The 13,076-nt window shown below is 38.6% G+C and overlaps 1 annotated feature.

Moving 5' to 3' along the window:
* Positions 7,939-8,038: an enhancer, noted in NCBI's record as "active region_15883". NCBI's record gives its function as "activates an Ori minimal core promoter by ATAC-STARR-seq in GM12878 lymphoblastoid cells {active_cell/tissue: GM12878}" and the evidence as "EXISTENCE:reporter gene assay evidence [ECO:0000049][PMID:35858748]".

A 13,076-nucleotide genomic window follows, 5' to 3' on the forward strand; every position in this document is an offset into this window, starting at 1 on the left:
GATCACAGAGTCAAGTAGGGAAAGAAAAAGTGTAAGCGAATAAGTAAGAAGTGTTAACTATTACTCTGAAAAAATTTGCAAACCTTTTCATTAAATAAACAATTTTTTAAAGGTAGATTCCTTATAGCATCTATGATTTGTAAAATGTTGTAGAAACATGGACGATTTAAAGCAAACCCTATCACAAAGCAAATTGCCTTCAACTTTTCCCTCTCGTTAGAGTTAATTTTGACTTTGGCATGAGGACACATTTTGTTTTTCTTCTGCTCACACAGTGCATCTACTACCTTCTCTGTCAGGCAAGTATGGAAAGTAAATTGTCAGGCAAGAAACAGTAAGCACACATCTAAAATCTGAAGCAAAATTGGTAGGCATAATTTTAGCTCTACCTGCATATGGAATAATGTATCTATAGAACTCTTAGTTTTTCTGGTGAGGCAGCATGGTACAGTGGGGAAAATACAGGCTGAGGAATCAGAATATAATCTAAATTTTGGCTTTACTAGTTTTGTGGGCAAATCACTTAACCTCACTGACCCTCAGTTTCCTCATTTGTAAAAACGAGTGATAATACAAGATTATAGTAACAATTATAATATGTCTATACATAATAGGCCTTTAATAAATATTATTATTCAAACCCTAGAACACAAAAGAAAATAATTTATCAACCCTTAGGTAATTGTACAAAATACTCAAATGCCTCAATATAAATTAAGTGTATATTAGGGGCAGAATTTGACCTGATCATTTTAAGCAGAAACTAAAATAGTCTTAACTTGGGATGCCTACTGGGACAAAGTCATTACAAGCTATAAATGTCTAGCTAGAGTAGTAAACCCTGAAAACCAGGATGGGCACAGGTTGGAGCTTCATGGAATGTGGAATGCCCAAACCTGATCCATAACACAAAATCGGAGTCTGCAGTCTTCTGGGGCTAAATATTGGGCCAAAATAGAATGTCTGAGTAAAGGTATATAGTAGTTTTGTCTTTAGTATTCAATGTCGAACCCTTTTCTCAATTGGTAGCTATAGGACCCACTTTCCATCACTAAAGTGCAAGGCCAGTGACTCAGTTTCCATATTCTTGTCAATAAGGGCATGCCATGTGATCTAGACCACTAATAACTCTAGACTGGAGAAGCAAGGTCTAGAAATAACTCATTTTGGCAGAAGTGACAGTGGCAGCAGCATCCAATGTCTAGTGACAACAGCGTCTATGGGGCTTCCAGGGTCATTTCTATGTCTTGTGGAGGTAGGGGAGAGGTTGTCAGTGATAGCAGTCCAGTGTACCCTGACCAGACATGTAGATTCGTCTGTTCTGATCTCTTAATCTCTCTTGGTTCTGGCTCATTTCTTGCAGCTGGTTCTTCAGGCTTCTCATCAATTCTAGGAGCTACTTATTAGTCTGCCAATAGATTCCTTATCTGCTTAAGACAAAGTCCATTTCAGTTGTCTGCATACAAGAATCTTGATTACTATAGGGCAAATGGAAGAATCACAGTGTGGGGCAAATCTGAGGTCAAAGCTGTCAGAGACTTGAGGAGGAGGTAAAGGAGAGGACCTCAGTAAATATGTTGATGGTCCAGACGAAAATGTGTAGATAATATCCATTCGTGATTGAGGCCTTGCCTTGACAAACCACTTCTTGTCTTGAAGACACACTCTTCAACTCAGCTTCTCACAGAAACCAAAACCTCAGCTCATGGCAGAAGGCTGGAACCAGAGTGAGAAGGCTGGTTGCAACAAAGGGTAAAATGCTTCCTTAGGGGATAATCTAAGGCAGCTAAAATACCCAGACCCATTGCTATGGTAATCCACCCACATAATAATTACAGGTTATTTGCATATCTGGATTCCTTTTCATAGCCAGGGGATGGTGTGAAGTCAGTGCTAAAGAAGCAACAAGTGGCTGTCATGTGTCATCTCTGCCCCAAGTGGTTCTGAAATTGGTTTGAAGCTTGAGGAGCCTTCATTCTTTTTGGGATAAAGGATAAGAATCCTAACAGAACTCACCCCCAGTCATCACTAGTCAGAGAGAGCCTTCTGGCAGAGTAGGGTAGTGAAAGGCCTGGGCTCCAGCAGCAGTAACCTGAGTCATGTCCGAGGCGACAGAGAAGAAAATAAACCAGGAGGCCAGAATCTGGGAGGACTGAGAACCAGTAGGAAAAGGAGGGTGGGAAGGTGTTTATGAAGTAAGACAAAGGCTGAGGGTATTAGCACTCCATGGGCACAGTTACATGTGGTGATGGCTGAGGGAGTGGACTTGAGGGTGATTCTCCAGGCCCAGCCCCAGATGTCTCAGGGAACTAACAGTGCCTCTTCTGATTCACAGTGATAATAAATAATTAACAATTATTTGTTATAATTTATATAATATAATGATATATGTTACATATATCATATTATAAAAATATATTTATATATTATAAAAATAGTCATAGATAATAGTATATATTACTATTATAGTTACAGATAATAGTATATATTATCTATAACTATATATTTAGTTATATGTGTTGCATATATAATAATCATAATTTGTCACTATATTATTTATAATAAAAATTTTAAAAATCCAATTTTTGCCTTCTGATACCATTCTGAGCCTGGAATAGCCTCTTAAGGGGCAAAACTCACTGCCATTTAGTGAAGTAAATTTAGATGAGAGTCTTTTAAAATAACTGTCTTTTGAATAATATATTGAGCCAGGCCTGCCCTACCCAACCCCATCTTGGGAAAGCAAGAAGGTAACCCATTGTAAGAGCAAGTTTGGTGTCCCCTTCTCCCTCTATAGCTTGATCCCTTGGTCAGGGACTGTGGCATCTTGGAGCTTCAAGGAGAGATAAGTCCTTAAGGAGAGAAGGGGCATTTTGGGACAAGATTGTCACATCTTCTATCACTGTCCTCTCATAAAACCTGCTCTAGCACACTCTTGCCAAAAGCAAACTGACCAGTGCTTAAAATGCAAGTCAGGAGCAGTGCATGAGCAGTCATGCAGGATGACAGTGGGTGAGATGGTTTGTCCTTAAATCAGGCATAATGTCCTCTTGCCTCCATGCACATCAGGACATCTGAGGAGCACTTCCTGTACCCTGGGCAGGATATTTTAAAAATTAGCTGCCTCAGAGTAGAAAATAAAACTCAACAAGATTTTATCTTGTTTTTAATTTCTATGTCTCCCTGGCAGCTGTAATATTATACTTAGTAAATATCTAGGTTAAACCAAATAGTCACATGGGAAAATGATATTTCACACCTCTATTTTGGAATTATGTGCAAAATTTGCCACATCTGTGTTGTTGAATAATACAGAGTTAAATTGATAACTACCCCAGTTGAACATGATGATCTATAATTAAGTTATTAGCCATTGTTCTGTTGCATAAAAATATTTGATTTTTCAACTCAGGGGTAAAATCTATAGTAACGATCGCTGCTTTGCAAGTTGTTATTTATCACTGGCTTATGTAAGTTTGTAAAAAACAGATTAAAAATGGCCAAAAAAAAGAGTGAATACTTAGAGAAATTATTAGGTCTTCTGTTAAAAAAAGAAAACAAACTTTTATGAAAATTTAGATTTAGTTCCTAATAGAAGAGTAAAACCAAAAGGGAACTTGCTTCCTCAACACCCGAGTGCTAGAACTCTGCAGTCCTGTGGCATATGTTAGCTGTGCTTGAAATTCCCCGCTTTGTGCTAAAGCATTGGCAGAGCAAGTAGAGCTGACATTGCACTATCCTACCTCTCTTTATTTTTTATTCCTCTTCGCTTTTCTCCCACTCCCCATTGCTTATCATCTAGTCCTCCCTCCTGCCTTCTCTATCCTCCTTTTCTTTTTTTTCTGCTTCTTTCCTCTTTCTCTATAGTCTTCATGCTTTCTCTCTTTTCTTTCTTCCTTATCTCCTTCTTCTTCCCCTCTCCTTCAGACAATGCTGCCTTGTGGTTATGAAGAGCATGGGTTCTGGAAGCTAATTAAGGCTTCTAATGTTGGTTCTGCCATTCAGACTGAGTGATCTTGGGGTAAGCTACTTCATCTTAAACATGTGTATCAATCAGGGTTCAACCAGAAAAACAGAGCCGCTACTATGGGAGGCACTGGGGAGGAGAGGGTCTGAAGGGGGAGCTAGAAGATCAGAGGGGCCACCCATCAGTTCACCTGAGAAGGCAGACACGCCCAGCTGCTGAAATAGGATTGTGAATAGGGAGCTGGTGGAGAAATCTATGGGGGGCTGTTGCCACAGAAGGGTCACATTCAAGTATAAGGTGGCACTGCAATTAATCATTGATGCCAGAGGCCTCCCAAAATGGCAGGACGTGGAGTAGAGGAGAGCAGACAGCTGGAGCCCACTGGCACCTTTATGTCTGTCCACTGCTGTATCGAAAGATGACAATCTTCAGAGAGTAATGGCTGCTGCTTTACTTCTGTCTTCCAAATCTCCTGCAAATTCTACTTTTGGCAAAATCAACACCAGAATCATACTGGGGAGAGGATTCTGGAGAACCTTCTGGAGAAGGTCTAGCTTAGCTGATTGAAGGAGTAAATATCACCACGTGAATCGTTTTTAAAAATGTAGTTATTCAGAGTTCATAGCTCATGGGGATGTTGTGAAAAGTAAATGAGATTTAATACATGCAAAGAAAGCACTATTCACAGTCTGACACATAGTAAGCACCCAATAAATGTTGTCATTTATGCTTTGCTTTCAATCCATTTCCTCTCATGATACTCTTCTACTTAAGCACTATTACCAAATTTATCAGTGTCATTGCCATGGTATGTATCATCAATGTTCAGGATAATTAGTGAATGATTGTGGGATGTGTAACAATAAAATAGATATTTATTGAGTACTTAGTAGGTAACATACAATGTACTTTTACATGCTTTAGCACACATGATACTTATAGCAATCTTGTGACCATCATCATTCACATTAAAACATGAGGAAATTGAAGTAGAGAGATTATTTACTTGCCCCCAAATTACACAGGATTAAACACAGTGCCAGTTTACTCTGGAGTAATGTAAACCCAACCATTTCAAATAATCTGTTTCTGTTAACAGGAATACCTCCTGTAGGAAGATTATCTTCAGAAATACAGCACCTTCAAAACTTACAACAGATCTTAGAGTTCCTTTTTGGTTGTTATAGTTTCACACAAAATCTGGGCAAATTATAAATCTGCCCTCTATGGTTTGCAATGAGACCAGTGGTGGGAAAGAACTTGGTATGAGGCAGTGTTTAACAAAGTAGCCTTGCTCAAGCCAACAAAACGTAGAAGTAGTTGGGAAGAGAGATGGAGAAAAGTTGAAGAAAGGTTAAAGTTGGCTCATAATTAGATACAGTTTTACAACATAAAACATGAAAAACTTGCTCTAAATAGACTCCTAGGCCCTTTTAAAGCATGGCCTGTGACTTTTACTGGAAAAAAAAGTTCCTTAAATTATTACAGCCAGTAGTTCTCTTACCCTAGCCCTAAGCTCGAGTTGTCTCCTAAAGCAGAAACTCCAAATTGGCAGCTCTACAGATTGCATGGAATGGGCTTGTGCAATCTTTTAAAACTTAAAAAAAAAAAAAAAAGCCTATCTAAATGTTTTCAGATGGGGCTTATCACAGTTTCTAATCATCTCTCCTTATCTGTCTCCCAGCCTTCCTTCACTTATTGATGCTACATGCCTCAATCTAGAAGGCATGTGAGCTTCCAGCTCCTGCAGAGTCATGATTTCTAGGACAGATTTCAAAGGGATTGGCTGGTCCTGAATTTCCACATGGAAATCAACAGAGACAAGGGGCATGAACCTTCCCAATTCAATTTTCTACTCATCTGACCCCTTCCCTCCCAGCTCATTCCTGAAAGTTCTTTATGGATAAACTTGTTGTGTGGCATTCTGACAACGGCTACGTTTACCTTCTAAGAATTAAGACCTGAATTGCTCAAAAAACCAAGTGCTGAAACCATACAATTTCACCTTTGTCAAATGTGACATGCATTTTGTAAATGAAAAGTCCTGAGATATAAAGGCTGACTAAGCACCAAAAGAGGGAAACAGAAAACTTAGGATTTGTTCATAAGTAGGCACAGGTGCAATCTCTGCAAATACACTTGAAAATGGGTTAATTGTGTACTTCTTAATTTGTAGGGCTTGAAGTTTTAAAGTGTGGTATTAGGCAAATATTTAATTTCCTAGAGTTTGGAACACACGTGGTATGAAAACTTGAAGGTACTAGAATATGATAAATGATAATGTTTTAGCTATGTTGACAAGCAAAAGCTGGATTTGGTATTTTATGGTAAAGATTGACAAAAATTTGTGGCATAATTTAAAACACCTGGGTGTAGTTAAGGTAGCCATAGATTTATTGAATAGAATCTTCCTTTTTTATGAAGATATGGAGATAAATGGGATTATAGAGTCTAACTTGCTAAAAGGAGACATAAAACCTTGCTCTTTATAAGAGAAGCCTTGTAGGAATTTACATTTGTGAATTTCTCCTGGTGTGCTCAGTTTCCCAGTATGTGTACCTGAATCTGAGGATCTGCCCCATTCCTTTATATCTTCACTATTCTCTTATGCTTTTTCTCAAACTTATATAATTAAAGATGCTTTTGCTTGTATGGGTATTTAAATCAAATTATTGCTTTAAATTAAGTATAAATGTATAATCTTGTTTTCCTAACTCTGGCAATGTTCTGATCTTTGCTTTCACAAACAAAATGCTTGTTTATAGTTTACAGAATAAGATGACTGTAACTAGAGTCTTTGATTTAAAAAAAAGCTTAATTGTTGAAATTAAAGGATCTCACCAAACATATTGAATATTATTCATTTGGAAAACTATATCAATTTACACATAATTACAATTCCAGAATGTGTGCAATCACGCACTTAACATAATTAGGGAAATTAATACAAATCCCAATTCCTCATATACTAATGATGGCTTCTAGAACACATATCTTTCCCATTTTTATCCAACGTATAGTGCATAGAGGCCTGGCCTGTGTAAAAAATGCACTTGTAGAAAAGTATATATTCCCAATTTCAAGGATTCTTTTGAGTACTCAGGAAAGTATATAAAACTATATATAGAGCCTTACAAATCAAAGTAGACAAATACAAATTATTTGTTATATATTTTGAAAGAAAAAGAGGTGAAATACTTGGTTTAAGCTCAGTCATCAAGGGGGAACAGTTTTAGGGGAAAGAGGTTTAAGTTGCACAATTAATATTATCAATGGCACCAATAATAATGATCTGACTCATTTTGGAAAAAATAATGCTGTCTTTGGCCTTGAATTTTAGAATTGCTTGAGTTGTGCTAGTAGAATTTTCTACAATGATGGAAATGCTGTATATTGTGCACTGTCATATATAGTAGTGAACAGCAATGTGTGACTATTGAGCATTTGAAATGTGGCTAGTGCAACTGAGGAACTGGATTTTAGTTTTATTAATTTTAATTAATTTAAGGTTAAATTTAAATAGTCATATATGGCTAGTGGCTACTGTGTTGAACAGTGCAGTTCTAAAGTGTTATTGATAAAACCGCTTTGTGAAATTTCTGTAATTTACTCACTTATTCATGGACACATTTATATATTTTTACGTTCATTTATTCATTCTACAAATATTTATTGATGGCCTTCTTTGTTCCAGGCATTGAGAACATAATGGTGAGCAAAACTGACCAAGGCCCTACTCTTGTGGAATTTATATAGTCTCATGGAATAGATGGATACCAATCAAATAATCACACAGCTGGTAGAAATTAGAAGAACTGAAGGTTGTAAGATTATCCTGTGTGGTGATTTCTGTGAGGAAGTCCAGGCTTTGCAACCTCTTTAAAGTCTTCTGATTTTCCCCCAGGAAATGACCTCTGACCTGAGATCTAAAAGATGTTTGGCTCTACAAAATGGATGGATTTTATCAGTTGACACTACAGAGATCAAACAAGGTTGTAGGAACAAATTTAGATAATTATCATACTGACTACATATGTAAACAAAACAACTGTTTCTCTTTAGAAAGAAGAATATCAGGAGCGTGGTGGCTTAGAATTATTAAAGCTGTCAAAACTGAAAGTTGAACAACTGATCACAGTATAGCCAGGGAGTTTCCAAGTCATTTTGACTCATAGTGTGTAAGGCAGAGGTGCCCTTAAGAGCTTCCTTCTCTGTTATTGAAATAAGGTACAGAAAACACATATACGCACACACGCACACACGTGCGCGTGCGCGCACACACACACGCAGCTGGGTTTAATTAAGAGGAAAGTGGTCAGATGAATTACATTTTCTTAAAGAAATATTTTGAGATGTTCTTGGAAAAATATATCCCTACTGAATAGCTAGGTTTCTGACATAGACAAAATATGTCTCTTGCAAACATGCCATAAAAAACAGCGCTGATCTCTTCCATTCAGATTTTTCCCAGTGCCTTAGGGTTATCCAGGGAAACAGTTGATCTGAGGGTTTAGGAAACAAAGATGTCCAAAATGATCATAAATAGGGATTGAAATCTAGTTTGCATGTAGAATTCCAATCCCCCTGGAAGTTCTAGCTGATAATCTAATTTAACCATGAAATGATATATGATAATTTGAAAATAATTATGTACTTTCAAATGAGAAGCCACTGAAGTACCACAACACTTTCAAATGAGAAGCCACTGAAGTACCACAACACAGAACTAAAGTAGCATGTGACACTCTAATTTTTTTTTTTTTTTTGAGATGGAGTCTCACTCTGTCGCCCAGGCTGGAGTGCAGTGGTGCAATCTCCGCTCACTGCAAGCTCTGCCTCCCAGGTTCACACCATTCTCCCATCTCAGCCTCCCAAGTAGCTGGGACTAGAGGCACCCGCCACCACATCCAGCTAATTTTTTGTATTTTTTAGTAGAGACAGGGTTTCACCATGTTTGCCAGGATGGTCTCAATCTCCTGACCTCGTGATCCACCCGCCTTGGCCTCCCAAAGTGCTGGGATTACAGGCATGAGCCACCGTGCCTGGCCGTGTGACACTCTAATTTTGACTGCTGTAATTTTAATTTGGGGTTGGAGTCAGGGTGGCATGGCCTCCTCAAAACATCCTGATGCTAGTAACATATCCAGGCAGAATATCTAAGACAGATAGACTCTCTTATCTTCAAAAGTGTGCAAAAACTATTTTGAGCACCTCTCCCACTGTAATATTTCATGAATCTGCCCAGTTTTTATGGAATGCTGCCAGGTGGCTGAACTCTATCCTTCACCCTTTCTTCTCCCTTCTTGGTATGCCTGAGAGTATGTGAATTAAGTGACATGCGTAATAACTATAACAAAATTTTATTGCATTCAATAGAAATCACTACATAACACACCTGAATATTCTGGGGATATGTGCTACATAGAGCCAGTGAGAACTCTTGGGTCGACGCAGTATTGGATGCTTTTGTCTCACCCACACGAGACAAGTTGATACCATGTCTTTCCCTAGGCCTATGTGTAAAATCTCCATGAGTGATAGGAGTGATAGGATGCTGCTCCATGAGTCCACATCTGCAGATCCCCTGAAGCTTCTGAACGTTATCGATTGTACTGAATTCAATTTTCTTTCAAACACACACAAATTGTTTTCATTAGGATATGTGCTCAGTCCTTGCCCAGAGGTAAGCATTGCCTCTAGGCAAGTCCCTGGGTTATTACCCTGTGTTCACCCTTTCTGACTTGTGGCTTTACATTAAAGAGATCTTGTTGAGTAGGCTTGTGTGTATGGAGCGGGAGGCAGGGAGATTCAGTTCATTTCACTCTGGTGGTCACTAATGTCCTTCCAGGCCCAAACCATTATCATACATTCTGTAGCCACTTACATGTGTACATGTAAATGACTTGTGGAAGTCCTACAGGTAAGTTAGCTTGTAGAATATTTTAACTTTTTTTTTTTTTTTTTGAGATGGAGTCTCGCTCTGTCGCCCGGGCTGGAGTGCAGTGGTGCGATCTCAGTTCACTGCAAGCTCTGCTTCCCAGGTCCACACCATTCTCCTGCCTCAGCTTCCCAAGTAGCTGGGACTACAGGCGCCCGCCACCGCGCCCGGCTAATTTTTTGTATTTTTAGTAGAGACTGGGTTTCACCGTGTTAGCCAGGATGGTCTTGATCTCCTGACCTCGTGATCCACCTGCCTCGGCCTCCCAAAGTACTGGGATTACAGGTGTGAGTCACCGCGCCCGGCCTTAACTTTTTATAATGCAAAATTTCAAACATATCCTAAAGCAGACACACTGGTGTAATGAAGTTCTATGTACTGCCATCACTCAGCTTTCACATGATCAACTCATGGCCAGTCCTGTTTCATTCACAGCCCCACCTATTCACCACTTTCTGTATTACACAACAAGTCTTCACTTAACTTCATCCATAGGTTCTTGGAAACTGAGAAACAATGTGTAAGAAAACCAATTTTGTCATAGGGTAATTGATATATAAACAAGAGTTACATCCCTAAAAATGGAACTACCATTCCAGTCAGCAATTCCACTACTGGGTATATTCCCAAAGGGAATAAATCATTACATCAAAAAGATACCGGCATTCACATGTTTATTGTAGCACTATTCACAATAGCAAACATAGGGAATCAACAATGGAGGACTGGATAAAGATGAGGTGTAGATGCACCATGGAATAAAGTTATAAAGAAAAATGAAATCATGTCTTTTGCAGCAATATGGATGGAACTGGAGGCCATTATCCTAAGTGAAATAACTCAGAAACAGAAGGTCATATACCACCTGTTCTCACTTGCACGTGGAAGCTAAACAGTGGGTGCACATGAACATACAGAGTGGAATAACAAACACTGGAGACCCCAAAATGTGGGAAGGTGGGAGAGGGGTGAGGGTTGAAAATGTACTAAGAGCCCAGACTTCACCACTATGTACTATATACATGTAAGAAATCTGCACCTGTACCTCCTAAATGTATGAAAATAACATTTTTTAAAAAGAATTAAGTTTCTATGGCATATTTCTGATCACAGAAACATCACCAGACTTATAAATAAAGACCCTAAACACTTATAATATTAAACACTGAAATAAACGTGAGTTATACCTACATTTAAGGAAGATTAATATAAACAGGATAATTACCCAATTTTGGTGAATCACTGAGTGATGGTAGGCATAAAGGTAGTGGGTTAAATCAAAGAATAAATGTTTGCAAAGTACAAATCATAAGGAGCATCTTCTCCCACCAATACGGTTCAAAATCAAACAAGGACAAATCTGGTAGGCTTGCTAAGTGCTTTTGTGCTGCATCATTTATTGTTGTGCATTTGTGTGATTATTGAACACTTTTCAGATTTTTATTTTATAATAACTTGTATTCATTCATTCATTTTCCAACCTGCATATTCCAGTTCAGGGTCACAGGTGACTGGAGCGTATGTCAGCACCTCAGAGCACAGAGATGGAAACCAGCCCTGGACAGGACACCATCCCATCACAGAGTGCATCACACTCCAATACTCATTCATATGGGGACCATTTAGATGCACCCGTTTACCTAATGTGCACATCTTGGGATGTGGGAGGAAAGTTGAGTAGGAGTTCCCAGAGAAAACCCATGCAGACATGGGGAGAATATGCAGATGCCACACAGACAGGGGCCCTGGCGCAGAGGCCATTTTTTCTTTCTCATCAACGTTATAACAATGTTGAACGAAACAGCATTATCCGGGGACTTGCTGCATTTTAAAACAAATTCGTGAATAGTTTACAGATGGATGGAGCAATTAATAGAGGAGGCCACTTTTCCCCCAAAGCCTTCTTTGATCCTTTGCTCCCCAGTAGGAAGTAACGGCCACCCTTGAGACTCCCCATCATTTTCTCCCTATTTTTCTTCTAGCACCTACCGTTGTTTCTTGCCTGGAATTATACGTCTTTTTGTATATCTCTCTTTCCTATTGAACCCTAAGCTCCTTGAAGGCAGGCTCCATGACTAACTCATACAGCATTCAATAAATATTTATTGAATGAAGACAGGAATATATAAAGATGGGTTACAATGATTGAAATCCAAATTTAGATCAAGACAGATCCATACCCAGCACTGGGAATCTCTTTTTTCTGTGATTTGATCTGGCTTCTGTTTACAGATCTTAATTGAGTACAGACTTTGAGTTTCTTCCAAATGCCAATAAAACCTTTAGACAAAATATGTTTATCTCGAATTGAATAAAGAACTAAATATGGCAGAAGATATATTTGTTATTTATGATAATATAAAAGAAGCAGTTTCATGTAGCTATGTATTAAAGGACACAAACTTGAAAATGGAAATCTCTATTTTTGCATGAAATAGTAAAAGAAATTTGGAAAGGATGAACTTCCATGTAAAAATGAACTTTAGGGTCAGGCAGACCTGGTTGCAAATTCCAGCCCTGTCACTTTGCTATATGACCTTGAATAAGTTACTCAGCCTCTCTGATCCTTACTTTCCTAATCCATAAAAATGGGAAGAGTTTTTCCTTGTTTCTCAGGATTGTGAAGGATTAAATGAGGTAGCATATGTGAGACCACCCAGCACTGTCTCTCATGTAAAGTTGGTCCTCCCACGTGTTGGTAATAATTCTAACAACCACTTATTCAGAGCTTACTATGTGCTGGCACTGGATTAAGCAGGATACAAGTATTATTTTAATTAGTCCTCACAGTAACTTTGAGGATGGTGTTAATATTTTCATTTTGCTCATGAGGAAACTGAGGTCTAGAAAATTAAGTAACTTGCTCAAGGTCACGCAGCTAGTTAGAGCTAGGGCTCTAGAAGACTTGATCCTGAGTCTTTATGACATGGAAGTGGAATTCTTGTTCCTACTGTGCTGCCTAACTTTCTTTCATTATAATTTCTTTGAAACTGGCTGGCACGGTGGCTCTAATACTTGTAATCCCAGCACTTGGGAGGCTGAGGCGGGTGGATTGCCTGAGCTCAGGAGTTTGAGACCAGCCTGGGCAACATGGCAAGACCCTGTCTCTATTTAAAAAAAATTTTTTTGTTGTTGAAACTTTGCATAGAAAAGGACTTAAAACTCTAGGGA

This window comes from Homo sapiens, chromosome 2, assembly GCF_000001405.40.
Source record: "Homo sapiens chromosome 2, GRCh38.p14 Primary Assembly".
NCBI classification, from domain to species: domain Eukaryota; kingdom Metazoa; phylum Chordata; class Mammalia; order Primates; family Hominidae; genus Homo; species Homo sapiens.